The sequence below is a fragment of the Homo sapiens genome, chromosome X (genome assembly GCF_000001405.40).
Source record: "Homo sapiens chromosome X, GRCh38.p14 Primary Assembly".
NCBI classification, from domain to species: Eukaryota; Metazoa; Chordata; class Mammalia; order Primates; family Hominidae; genus Homo; species Homo sapiens.
In genome coordinates this window covers 68137011-68152057 of record NC_000023.11, presented here as the reverse complement: position 1 = coordinate 68152057, position 15047 = coordinate 68137011, and the positions used below count along the sequence as shown (strand labels likewise).

At 36.7% G+C, this 15047-nt stretch overlaps 1 protein-coding gene across 7 annotated transcripts in view; it reads left to right on the top strand.

The window, feature by feature from the left end:
- OPHN1 (oligophrenin 1) overlaps positions 1 to 15047 on the top strand; it is a 391498-nt gene that overhangs the window by 281784 nt on the left and 94667 nt on the right. The window lies entirely within an intron of this gene.

The window sequence follows — 15047 nt, the reverse complement described above, 5'->3', positions numbered from 1 at the left end:
TAGTGAGTGAGTAAGTCCTCGCAAGATCTGGTTGTTTTTAAAGTGTGTAGCACCCCCTGACCCCACCCCTGTTTCTTCTGCTCTGGCCATGTAGACACGCCTGCTTCCCCTTCACCTTCCACCATGATTATAAGTTTCCTGAGGCCTCCCCAGAAGCAGATGCTGCCATGCTTTCTGTACAGCCTGTGGAACCCTGAGCCAATTAAACCTCTTTTCTTTATAAATTACCTAGTCTGAGGTAGTTCTTTATAGCAGTTCGAGAGCAGACTAATACAAGGAAGTAAAGATGTGAGGGATTTCAGGTCTTGGGAAATTGGAGGAAGTTTGAAATAACCGTTTCAAGGGAGGGAAGGAGTACATTGACCTGAGAACACAGACTTGCTAGAAGGTGTTAAATGCCCAGGGGAGATTGTTGATTGTGAGTATATGGTGACACCAGTCTTACCTGTTGTGTGACTTTTTTAGCAGCATCTAGCTGCCCCTGTGCAGGACTTGTCAATGCTGGGTTCACCTCATCCAGGGGTGGACTAAAAACTGTTGATAAAATCATAACAGGTTGAATGTTACTGCCTATGAAGTTTAAGGTCTTTCCTTGCTCAGCATCATTTTATTTTCATGATGGTTTGTTGGAGGATGGGTCTCGATATGTCTTTCAGCCTCAATTGACTCATACCTACTAAGACTGGAAAGGCATGCTCTCCAGCCAGCTGACCTCTTGAATATACGATGACAAACTATTATCTGCTGCCTGTTTTTGTAAAATAAAAGTTTTACTGAAACATAGCCACACCCATTCTTTTACTTGTTGTCTATGGCTGCTTTTCTCCTACAATGGTAGAGGTAAATAATTGTGATAAAAACTATATGGCGGGCAAAATCTAAAGTGTATATGTGGCCCTTTACAGAAAAAGTTTGCCAACCTCTGGCCTCTAGGCAGCTGTCTGAATCCTGAAGCCACTGTTACACTGTGTGCTGTTTACTGACATTTTTTCCCTTAGGTGGTGTCATAGTCCTGCATTTTTGGCTTCTTAATCTAGTTCCTTACTTAAATATGATTCAAGTACTTTCTTTTCTTCCACTAAATAAATTTTACATACACACAGAGAGATAGAGAGACATGTATATTTCAATAAGTTCTGCCAATGTGAATTAATAAATAAGAAGTGTTATAATAATAATGGACATAGAATTCCAATTTCAGACTCATTTTTTAATCACAAAATTCTATTACTGACAAATATGTAGGTACTCTTCCGTACAAATTTTTCTGAGTTACTTAATTTCTCCTGGCCTCACCTCTTTGGGAGGTAATTTAGATGAAATGGCTTAAAAAAGTTATAGTTTCACAACTATTCCTCAAAGTCCTAGAATCTTTTTACTTTGCTGACTCTACTTGCTTAATTATATTTGCTAATCCATTTCATTAGTCAACACTTGGCAAGCCCAAGTGTACTCATCTGTCTATTACCTTTTCATCTACTTTAGTCTTAAGTAAACAAATGCCAGTTCATGTTCTCAGATACTCAGATGTAGGTTTAATTGTTAATATCTTATTCATTATTGTACAAGCTTTTGCTGTTGAATTTTAATATTAAAATAATGATAGGTTAGATTTGTGCTCACAACTTATTATTATGTTCCATTTTTTCCCACTCAACCGTACATTATGTACCCTTTCTTCAAGATTACTGTACAGAATGATTCTTACATATTTCAGTGTGACATTCTTTTTTTATTGAGGTGGAATTCATATATTAACTATTTTCAAGTAAAAGTTCAGTGGCATATCATACCCTTACAGTGTTGTGCAGCTGCCACCTCTATCTAATGCTAAAACTTTTCCCTCACCCTAAAAGGAAACTCCATTTCTCTTAAGCATTTGCTCCTCATTCCTGTTTTTCTCCTACTCTGGTAACCACCCGTCTTATTTCTTTTTTTGTAAATTTCCCTGTTCTGGATATCTCACCCATATCTAGATGATTCTGTGTGGTGTGTAATATGTGATATTTTATGTTAGGCCTCTTTCACTGAGCATAATGTTTATGAGTTTTGTCCATATTGTAGCATGTTCAGTTTTTCATGCTTTGTCATAGTTAATAATATTCCCTTGTTTATATATACCATGTTTTGTTTATCCATTAATCCATTGATGAACATTTGAGCTGTTTCCGCCTTTTAGTTCTTGTGAATAGTGCTGGTATGAACATCAATGTCCATGTACTTGTTTGAGTGTCTGTTTTAAATTTTTTTTTTTTGGTATATAACTAGGAGTAGAATTACAGGATCATATGACAATTTCATATTTAAGTTTTCGAGGAACCATGAAACTGTTTTTCATAGCAGCTGAACCATTCTACATTCCCAACAGCAATGTATGAGGATCCCAGTTTTTCCATATCCTCACCAGCACTTCTAATTTTCTAGTGTTTTGATTATAGCCATCCTTGTGTGTGTAAAGCAGTATCTATTTGTGGTTTTGATTTGCATTTCCCTACAGATTAATGTCAAGCATCTCTTCATGTGCTTTTGGCCATTTGTATATCTTCTTTGCTGATATGTTCTTGTTCATCTTATTTTTCCTTCACAACTGGAGAAGACAGGGTATATATAAATGATACTAATTATGAGAAAAATCATAGTCATGGAAAATCTTGAGACTTCAGGTCAGTAGCTTCATATCTACCATGGAGGTTAATTTAATGCTTGTTAGCTAAAACTTTGGTAAAACTTCTCATAAATTGGTTTGCTTCATATTCATTAGAGCCTTCCACTCAAAGATGTGATAATTGTTATTTTGACTATTTGCAAGGGATTTGGAAAGGTCAGTGTATGTGGTGATTTTTCATTTGGTTGGTTGAATTATGAAAGCTGCAGGAGCAAGGAGTCATTTATTGGAATGAGTCTTGCAGAGTCCTTAAAATACATATCTCAGATATGGCTTTGTTATTCTTCATAATGACATTTCTGAATTTGGGAATTCTGACAAAGTATCTGCAGGACCACATTATGGCTTTCATGGGCAATAGGTACTTTTGTTTTGTGGGCCATGAAAAATTTTGCTACATAAAAGATATTAAAATATCTTTCAGAAATACTAAAAATTTCCATGAAAATATTATAATTCTATTTTCTGTCTACATTGCTATAGAGATGAATATTTTACAGGCTGTCTTGTATTCATATTTTCTTCTGATTTTAAAAGAAATTAAAACATTACAGAACCTCTAACAGTATCCTGGGCCCAAGGCATTATGCTTGCTTTGTGCAGTGGGATGTGGGCCCTGGATATCTGAAGATATCTATCATGATTTTGTTTAGCCCTTTGTGATTTTTATTATCATTGATGTGTGAGTTCTTAACAGTTACTGTGATTACTTCCTAATAATAATGTGCTCTTTACGGCTACTTTGAAATGTCCATTTCATATAACTCAGATCATAATAAACTTGCCCTTTTTCCTCATTTTCATTATGGGCTCAGCCGTCTCAGCTTGTTCAATTTTATTTGCATTTTCCTCCTCATATTCTGCTTGTTACCATTTGAGCTCTCAGCTGCTGGAAAGCCCTTCCCAGAGCAGGTCTTTGGGGATAACAGGTTTCACTAAATTGGTTTCAGAAGGTGAAGTTTAGTGTTCATTTGGTCTCCACTGGCAGCCCTGAGGAGATATGATAACACAGGCTGGAAAAGAAAAATTCCAATTTCATAAAGAGCATTCTGTACAGTGTTGGCATAAACAACCCTGATACTAGCAAGGAGAACAGACTAGCTTTGGGATAGTATACAAGTTTATTGCTAACTCTTCTTTTTTATGGTGTTATCATATTATCGTATCCTTTAACATCCTTTGTGGTTTTTTTCTTGTTCCATGTTCACTTTTCCAAATCTCATTGCCTGTCATCATCTTCCTTCCATCACTGGCATTTTTTATTAATGATCTGCTTTCTCCTTTCCCATAAGCCAGTCTTAGTGTCTTCTAGCAATGTCATTTAAAATCCCACTTCCTCATTCAAGCCACAGTCCATAGCACTAAGCCTTTCTTCTTCCTTTCTCATAACTGGAAATAACAGATCTCTCAGGAAACCTTCATTTCCCTTACTGAGAGATGGTGCTCAAGTCAAAAGCATAGGAGCTCACATAGAAAGCAAATTCTTTAGAGATCCTTGATTACAGGAAAACAGGCCACAGGTCATGTTAAACCATTAATTTTTGGAGCTAGCCATGAAGCTTAATCAAATTGATGTTAAAACGATTCTTTTAAGGCATTGACTATCCACGCATTGATTCTTAGGCTCTATTTCATCATCATAACTTCCTTTACATTTTTATGATAACAGGAATAGCAACATTATTATCATCATTCATAGTAACAAATGTTTATATAGTGTTTAGTGAGTACCAAAGTCTAAGCTTTTTGCATTTATGAACTTATTTAATTCTCATAACTCTTATAAACTGGGTGCTATTTTTTACCTCATGTCATTGAAATCAAATAATTTGCCCTAAGTCACTCAGCAAGTAAGTGGGGATTTATCATCTCCTGTTCATCTTGTAAGCTGTTTTCTATTTCAGGAAGCTTAAGAAATCTCAGTTTTATTCTGTGAAGGCTAATTCATATTATTAGCACATCAGGAAAACCTGTTACAAACAAATATTCAGCAGAGACATAGAAATCAAGAACTGTGTTCCTCATATCAAGTGTATGATCAAGGCAAACTGGGAACTGCTTTTATATGACTCTCTCCCAATCACACTGAATTCTATGATTCCTTATCCCATTTCCTTCACTAAGGTTATCCTTGGGGTTGATTCCTGCCAACTTGGGGATCTCCTTGAATGACATCCTTTCTAATTCCTACTGTTAGAGTAGATCTAGTTAGGGAGGACATTTATGAAGAAAGACCTCTCCCACAACACCTTGAAACCGTTGTAGCTTACTTATCCTGAGTGGACAGGCATGGGCTTGGAGGGTGAAGGGGTCTTGCAGTTCTAACATGTTACTCATGTTCTTTCAGTCATCTTCTTAAATATACTTTGTAGAACTATGAGGCCTTATGGAGATCTTAGGAGAAGTACTAATGAACATAGAATTTCTGTTTTTAATCATACAGTATTCCAATTTTCAGTTGCCATATGTACATATATGTACACAGACTTGTGTGTGGATGCATGCCTGCTTGTGAACATGTTTGCCTTTGTGTACACACACAGACACACGCCTTTGTGTACACACACAGACACACACAAACACACACACCTGCAAAGATAGTTTGAGGTAACCATAATCTTTCTGTGGTAAGCATCTGAGGTCTTTGTAAAGAGGAGTGTACTTTCCATTTATGGCATGGCAAATACATTAATCCCAAGAACTCTCAATATCAAGGCCCTTTTATGGAAAGTTTCAAGAAGCTTTCCTAGGCCCCTCTGCTGACCTAATTATCGGGGTAATCTGTTTTATCACCGTCAGGTGGAGCCAGGATACTTTTAAATTTGGGATAAGGGTCAGATGTATTAATCCATATCCCAGAGTATACAAATTAACTCTTGGCCAGCTTTATATAAAATAAAGTACAAAGTCAGGTTCTCAGATAAGGTTGGTATGTTGTTTGGTCTTTCTTTTTATTCTATTCCTGATAAAGATTCACTTGTTGTAATCCAGTTATCTCACTAATTAACTAATATTTATATTATTAACACAACAAAAGGAAAACTGGTGGATATCACAGGCCTCCACAGGACAGGCAAGTGAATGAATCACTTAAGCTGGTTAAGGACTGTAGTGATCTGTAGAGCATATACTCTGCCTAAAGAGGGCAGCCATGTCTTAAAAATTTCCACACACTAGCCTTACTAGAATGTGGACTTTATGCTGCCAGAGCTTCTGATTTTTCAAGAAACGTTTGGAATCCAGATATTTGTATGAAAACTAATTTTTCAATGCTAGCAGTTAATTCTAATTTTTAAAATACGATGCCATATAATGAATAAACTATTATAGGAGTTGACAATTTTTTTCTGTAAAGGGTCAGTTAGTAAATAGTTTGGACTTTGAGGTCTGTATGGTCTCTGTTTCAAGTTCTCAGTTCTGCAGTTGTAATATGGAAGCAGCTGTAGACAATAAGCTAATGAAAATGGTGTGTTCCAGTAATATTTACAAAAACAGGTAAAGGCCTATTTTGGCCCAGTGGTGGTAAGTTTGCCAACCTCTGAACTAAAATAAGATGTATCAAACATGTGTAAGTATCGAAACATAATTTGACTAAACAAAGTGAGCTGTAGAAGGATTCAAACATTTTATTACCATTTGGATTAAATGTAAAAACCTGCTAAAAAATGCATTTATGGGTATGTGCATGTATTTGAATGATAAAGATTGAATTTATGATAGTGGTTGTCTCTGGAGAGGGAAGGATGTGGGTCCAGAGAGGAATTGATTACAGTATTTAATTTCTTTATAAAAAGGATCTGATGGAAATACAGCATGATATTAAAATATGATTAGTACATGGGTGTTTGCTTCCCCCCACCTTTTTGTCTTTATATTTGAAATACTTTACGAATAAAAAACATTAGTATGCAAGGCAATCAAAACATGTCTGCAGACTTAATTTGACTCAGATGCCATCATTTTGAACAACCTCTGCTGTTCATGCGTGCAAGCATTCTAAGGATATCAGCTTTGTAGAAAATGATGAGTCTTTATGTCAACAAGTTGGAATCTACTACCCATATATTTGGAGGTTTTCAATGCAATAACAGTTTGTGATAGGTGATATGAATGATAACCAAGATGTAAGCTGGTTTTCATCAACCTATATCATTTCTTTTATTTCTGTTTACAAAATCAGGCATAACTTCTTGACAATGTACATATATTATAATTACTTTTTAATGACCTTGTTATCTAGCATTCCTCATAGTATCTTTCTGTTCCCTCTGAGGTTTCTCAGAGTTTTATACAGTGTCAGCTTGTTCTTATTAGATCTAATTATTTCATAATCCAATTTACCATTTCTACTCATCATCGAAGACTTTCCTCAGTACTGTCCTAGAAAACCTGCAAAGCATTGTACATTTCTAATAATATGATCTTCCACAATTATTGTTTTTCCTGTGCCAAGATCAAGGATGGCATACTTTTCTGTTGATCTCAAACTCATTTAGTTACGAGTCATGAAATGATCCATATATTGAGCTTTATTGAAGGGCAGAGGTTTTGTTTTGTTTACTTCTGTATCCTTAGCACCTTGAAACAGGGCTTGGCACAGAATAGCTACTCAATAAATTTGTGTTGAGTTAATAAATAAATGAATGCCATTATTCTTTTCAGAGGATATAATTTTACATGGTTTCTGGTGGAATGTGGTGTTATTCCAAAGGCAGCTTTAGACATTGCAGTGGCAGAAGGAAACTTTCAGAATTCTGAGTTTATGATTTATTAACTTGGAGTTTCACCCTGTGTTCCCTAAGTTTTTACTTCTTACATTAATATAATTTGATTTCTAAGTTCCTGATGTTTTCTTTTTACTTTTTTTCATAAACGTTAATGTCTAAATTCCAACTATGGTTCCTTTTCTCAACTGAAACTTATTTGTGTGACTATGCAAACCTTCTTTATACTTAATGCTTATTATCTGTGCTATTGTTTTTTCAGTGTTGTTCTTAGTCCTTCACTTTCTATCACTGCTACCCTTTATGGTACAACATGGCCTAGTCAGTTGAGTTACCAAAAGATTAAAAAGGAAATCGTGGTCGATAATCCCAGCACTCGGGGAGGCTAACGTGAGAGGATTGCTTGAGCCCAGGAGTTTGAGACCAGACTGGGCAACATGGCAAAACCCGGTCTCTACCAAAAAAATAAAAAAATTAAAAAAAATAACCAGGTGTGGTGGCATTCTCCTGTACTTGGGAGGCTCCCAGCTATTTGGGAGGCTGAGGTGGGAGGATTGCTTAAGCACAGGAGGTCAAGGCTTCAGTGAGCTGTGATCATGCCACTGCTCTCCAAACTGGTTGACAGAATGAGACCCCATCTCAAAAAAAGAAAAGAAAAGAAAATTGTAGCTCTTCCTGAACAAGTCCTGAAATGTCTTTCCCATATGCATTGAGGATCTTCAAGATAACCTCCCAGTTTGGTAATTTGTTAAAAGGACTCATAGGACTCAGCATATATTGTTACTCAGGGCTGTGATTTATTACAGTCAAAGGATACAACACAAAATTAGCAACGGGAAAAGGCACATAGAGCGATGTTCAGAGGAAACCAGACACAAGCTTCCAGGAGTTCTCTAGTGGAGTCACTCAGGATGTACAAAATTCCTCCAGTATTGCTTGTGACAGCACATATGAAGTGTTGTCTACCGGGGGATATTATTAAATTATTAATTGGCACAGGTTTATTGGGGGCTAGTTATGAAGGCAACCTCTGTCCAGCACATATGAAAATGCTAGACCCCCAGAAGGAATGCAGGTATTCAGCATAAACCACATTGTACAGGCATTCTAGGCATAGTGAGTCATGTTGTCAGTTCTAGTAGTCACTGTCTCCTCACTTAGCCCCATTAACAGCTGTGGATGGGCCTTTGTCATCACCAAGGTACCCGTTTCCCAAAGATGAAGAAATTTGATTTCATTTTGTTGTCTCTTGGTGTCAAAAACATAAAAACATTTTTCCTCTCCTGGACATCTTCAACTCTAATGCCTTTACCACCAAGCATAGTTTCAAACTTCTAGGGAGCTTCTCTCTGTAACTAATTGGAAAATTTCTTTTCTGACCTCCTAACCCTGTATGGAGGTTGTTGGTTTTATATTTAGTAAATTATTAAACAGCAACATGTTTTTTAAAACATTTGTACTGAGGCCTGACATTGGGTAGTTTCTCCCTGCAGTCAGGTTACTTGTCAGAGATGGGGCATGACTCCAAAGAGAATTAATGTATGTTTTTGTTATCTGAAGTGCCCTTGGGGGTTCCAGAATCCTCCTGAAGAGCCCATGTTTCTTTAGCAAAAGAGGTTTTTCAAGTCTGAATCCAGGATACAGGAACTCAAATGAAAAGCTTGTTCTATAGGAGTCTTAAAATAGAAGATAAGAGGCTACAAATAATGAAATCAAATTTGTAGAAACTGAGAAATTTCAATCAGATGTAACAAAAAGATCCTTGCTGGAGAATATATACCAGTAGTAGTACCTAACTCTCATCCAAGTTTTTTAAGCTATGTAATTTCCATTTGACCACTTATTCTTTATAGATTGAATTTGATCGTAGATTATAATTTAAATAAAATAAAGCATAGCCACAATTCGAGTGCTGACTGCAACCTATCCTAGCAAACCTTTCACACACATACCATGTCTGAGATATTCTCAATATTGTTGCAAATAATCCCTAATCACCTGTGTCAACATCCCAGAGGTTAAGTCAAACAAAAGCAGAGAATAGGGAAATGTATAACATAATAGATTTTATTTGAGGAGTCCTATTTAGAGTGATTGCCAGATCCATATTTTTCACATAATTTCATTCCTTAATAACTGGTACTTCGTCACAAATTATCAAGCAGACGTTGATAAGTTATCTGAAGATTTGATTTCATAAGCTTCCACAATAATGATGCTGTTTACTAACAGAATATCCATCCTATCCCAACATAAAGCCCGCTGGGAAAAAAGTCATTCTTTTTAACTAGTAATTACATGCTTGTCCCTATCTCACTATACAGTAATATTTTATTTTTAGTCTGTCTCCACTACACTGTATGTTCTTTAAGACTTTGAATTATTCTTTGTCTTTTACATTTATATAACACCTATGTGAGCATGCTCGTAATTTTCCAGGGTCATACAGACTGAAATATTGCTGCTTTTGTCCTTTGTTAATTCCATCTAAAACATGGACTAGGCACTCTTAGGTTTCAGTCATCTGAGTAGATGTTTAATCAACATTCGAGAAACTATGTGGGAGAATTAACGGCAGGTGATGATGGTGGGACTTGAAGCCTGTTTGCCAGGGGCCCCGGTTGTGAACATCATTTTCAGTACTGTCCAGACACAGGGGCAACTCCCTGTCATTTGTGACTCTTTCCGTCTTGGCTCTTGCCTCTCTTCTTTCTTTCTTTCTTTCTTTCTTTCTTTCTTTCTTTCTTTCTTTCTTTCTTTCTTTAATTAACATCACCATCTTTTCTGCTATTAAACTGTCACCATCTTGATCTTCTCTCCCTCTTTTGGCCTTTACTTTCCCGGCCAGAGTGTACTTCTGGTTTCTTTTGGAGCATCCAATCTCCATAAATCTCAGCCTTTGACCTCTCTGTCTCTCTGTTTCTCTCTCTTTCACTTTCTCTCTCTTTTGAAATAGAATTTACATTTTATTAAAACCAAACAATCCTTGCAACTCTAAAAATTGTATTTTTATGGCACCTTATGACTTCATTGTTATTTATCAAACTTCAGGTAATAGCTGATTCAAAAAGACTTGAACTATAACTTAAATATTTTGTGATTTATGAAACTTCTTAAAACAACTTAAAGTTTATATCTTGTGGCCAAGGTACTATAGACCTAGTTGGGAAGGGCCTGCCTAAGTGAACATAAACATCACATTTCATTGATTCTAAGATACACTTTTCCACATTTTAACATCTCTTAAATTGGGATTCATCTTATACTTCATAGTATCTCACAGTATAATTGGTGAATCTTTTTCCTTAGTATTATAAAAATGATAATGATGGGACTTATAATTAAAGGCAACTTAGATTTTTACTTTTTACTTAAGTAGCTGAGGCTTAAGAAAGTTTACAAAGTCTGACTGGTAACCTTCACACACAGAAGTTTTGTTTGCATGTAGTCCTTCTCTTCTTTCCTGCCCTTGAGATGGGATTTGTTCCCTTGACCTTTACCCCCTTTGTGGGCAGGAACTGGAGTGGCTCATTTCACCCAGCCTGCAGTCTGTGGATGGCCAAGTGTTAACAGCCCAGTAAAGGGTCAGAGTGACAGGCTCCTGCACCTGCCCTTTTTGACACTCAAGTTCTTGTTTGGTGTCCAGGAAGAATCAGGTCACACAAACCATTTGAAGGGTAGTGTATGCAGAGGATTTATTGGGCGATAAAAGTGGCTTTCAGCAGGATGGGGAATTGGAAAGGGGATGGTGTGGGAAGAAGGTGATCTTTCCCTGAAGCCTCATTGTCTGAAGTTAGCTGCATCTATCAGTAGTCTTCGATGCTCAGCCACATGTATCCCTGAGGCTCAGCAGCTTGCATCCCCAACCACTTGCATCAGCTGCTTGTGTTGCTCTTTTTTTTTTCCCTGCCAGCTGATCTAGTTTTTATGGGCACTGGATAGGGGGCGGGGTAGGACAAAAAGGCAATTATTTGGGTGGAAAAATGGGGTCAGCTGTTTTCACTTAGGGCCAAGGTTCCAGGCTTGAGGGTGAGGTTTAGCCGGGAGCCCAGCCCTTCAGGGGTCAGCTGTTTTCACTTATGGCCAAGGTTCCAGGCTTGAGGGTGGGGTTTAGCCAGGAGCCCAGCCATTCTGTATCACCCTCACCAGGTTGCTTCATGCTGACCTGCAAGTGGTTCTGCTTATGCTGGCCTCTCATGAGTCTTTCAGTTAAATCTTTATTGGATATGTACTGTGTGCTAAGAATTGTGGTAACTACTGGAGAGAAAGATGAGCAAAATCGTACATGGTCTTTGCTTTTCTGATTATAGACTCTTCTAAAATAGTGTTAACCATTAGCATTATAAAATGGCCCAATCATAGGCCAGATCATTCTGTTGTTCCTGTGGTGTCTAGATTTCTTAATGTTTCCATGTTACATAAGGAAGGAGCCATTCTGGGTGATCATTTAGGACTCTGTATCCAGTGACCCTGTATGGGTAGAGTAACAGTTTGGGTTGACTACTTGAAGGTGGTTTACCTCCTTCATGCCTTCATCATTTACTTCTCAGAGGTTTTCTTCATACTGCCTGTATCCAATACGTTGCATCTGTTTTTGTCAAACTTTTCAATGAATTATGTATAGCAAGTCTAAATGGAGTTGCCTTAGGGTTTAGTTTCCCTCTTTACTCAGTGATTATTTGATACAGCTCCAGGGAAGATTCCACTGGGAATGTGTGTCAGCTGGCACTTGCTCAAGCCTACAGTGAAGCTGTTATTTCATTTCTTATGTTTAGTTATTCTTAAGAGGTTGGTGTCTGGGTTAGAGTTTTCTTAGTCCCCTACCTGTTTTCTTAGCATTCGCTGCTGGAATCTATAACCAACTCCCCAATGGACTGCAGGTAGCCAACATGCACTCTCTTGGTAGGGCCTTGCCCGCATTGAACTTTGCATTTGTTTAGTAAATTTAATTAATTTTGTATAGATTATAAATGTACTTAGCACAAAATTTAAAAAGTACAAAAGGTAAACAATAAAAAGAAAGTCTACTTTTTACACCTGGCTCCCAGCCACCCCATTGCCATCCCAGGAAGCAACCATAGTTACCAGTTTCTCTAGCTCCAGTATTTTTTAAAAATAACTTTTTATTATGTAAAATCAAAAATGTATATGGAAGAGGATAATATAAAGAACCTCCTGGTATCCATCATGTTGCTCCAACAATTATCAAAAAATAACCAATCTTGTTTAACTCTACTCCCACCCACTTTCTTGGATTATTTTGAAGTGGATTTCATACTAAAATCATATGATGTTTCAGACATCATAACTAAAAGATAGTGCCTCTTTTAAAAAACATATAGCCATAATACCATTTTCACACTAAAAAGCAAAAATAATTCCTTAATATCATTGCATTTAAAATTTTTCAATGATGTATTTTCTTTTCTTTTACAGTTTGGTTGTTTGAATCAGGATCCAAACAAGGTCCACACATTGCATTTTGTTAAGTCTCGAGCCTCTTTTAATCTATAGCTCCCCTCACTTTTTTTTCATTTATTTGTGGAAATAACTGAGTTGTTTATTCTGTAGAATTATTCCGCGTTCTTCTGATTCTGTTACCAAATATAGTCTGGTGACTGTTTTTTCTATACATTGGTATTTTGATCTAGACGCTTAATCAGTTGTAGGTTTAATTTTTTGGCAAAAATACTTTAGAGGTGGTATTCAGTTTTAATTTTACAGATTAAGCCAGGTAAGTTCCTGGTTATTTTTCATTTGTTTGTTTTGTTTTGTTTACAACATGGTTTTTAAGTACACGGGCTCTATAGTCAGACTATCTGGGTTTGTATTCCAGCTCCACAACTTAGTAGCTGTATGACCTTGGGCAAGTCCTATCAAACTCACTGCATTTCTCCTTATTTGTAGATTGTGGATCATAGTAGCATGTAATTCATAGTACTGTTGTGAGGAATAACCAAATCCAATGTGTGTAGAGCATTTTGAACAGTGTCTGTCTTTGAGTAGGTATTCAGTGTACATTAACTATTGTGGTACTATATTTTTATTTCTCCATTGTCTTGTACGGTATAGCCAGGGCTGCTGTATTGTTCTACGCCAGGGTTCACTGTTTATCTTGTAGGCTTTTGAATGATACTTTTTATGGTGCTGTACAATGAGTAGTCCGTGTGGCCATATGTAGCAGCCCATATAGTCATACAATACATGAACTTGTGTTGTTCAGCTCTTTTATGTTTTTCATAGCACTACTATTTTATAAACAGGATTTAGTGTCTATCTGGATTTCTTATTCGCAAACTCATATATCACATTGCCTTTTTGTTTCTGTACCCCTCTTCCTTGAAATATACATGTGTTTGTGCCCATAGATACACACCACATGCATTTTCAAAGTCAAAGCTAAATAGTATTCCTCTTACAACCTCTCTTCCAACTGAGTGATGTGAAGATTATGTAGTTTATGCTGGTTTCCACTTAACACATCTATGGAGAGTTGAGGCTATCAGCCAGCTACCAACAAAAAGGAAGTGAATCGATTAGCAGCATGCCTGGGGACTGTGTAGACATGCCCACAAACCTCATGTTGTTATATGATCTGTCCTTGGGATCTGGCCAAGGTTCTTGGTATTTTAATCAATATGAGATAGATATTTCCAGAATTAGGACCCCATGGGGTGACCCATGATAATCTGGACATCATTTTTGTCAAGTTTAATAGTTTCTCTGTGAAAAAAAATAATATTGTGTGTGTGTCTCCTCCTTAGATCTGACATAGAAGGCATTCATGGAAAAGTATACCTTTCTATGCTGCACTTGAGAGGTGGTAGGCCTGTGCACAGGGGAGAAGAGATTAGGTCATTAATAAAATGGTACTCATATCCTTTCTAATTTAATAAGTCAATATAACTTCTACAGATGTGACACTAGGGAATTAAATAATACAGAATCCCGATTTTTAAAGTTTTCTAATGCACAACTATTTCACTCATATGTACACATATACATACATACATGCCCAACTAGCCAAACAATATATAATTATAGTAATCCTTTACAAGATGTCCGTTCTAGTCTTAATCAAACCAGTAGCAGGTTTAGCTCATGGAGTAGTTTAGATGGAATGTGCTTAGGAAGGTCTGACTTCAAAGAGCCTTTAGTCAGAGCCCAAGCAACTTTCTCAGCTCTCTCTGATGATTTCATTTTTCTCTTGGCTAATATATTTTATCCATCAATGTCAGGTTGGGCCAGAAATACTTGATTTCGAGATAGAAGTCATTGTTTTTTCAGGTTTTCAGAAAAATAATTACATTTATTATTGTGTATTATATATGGGGATAGAGACAGGTACACATTTGTTAATCTGTATCTTCCAAGGTCCCCATATTGTTGACTAGAGTTGGCAGATGGGTCACAAGCCCAACACGTCTTTACCCAGGCTTTTTCAGGTAAAGAAATGCAAGTTCAGATTGCTCTTTATATATGTGTTTCCAAAGCAGACATATAAAATGCTCCTCATAAATCAACCCCTTGTATTTCCTTTCCTATGATTTAACTCATGTTTTTGTTGATACAGGCACATTTAATATTATAACCATTCATTGTATAAAAGATTGCTGTTATGTTTTGCTGATACAGTGTAAATTGGCAGAGTTGGTCCT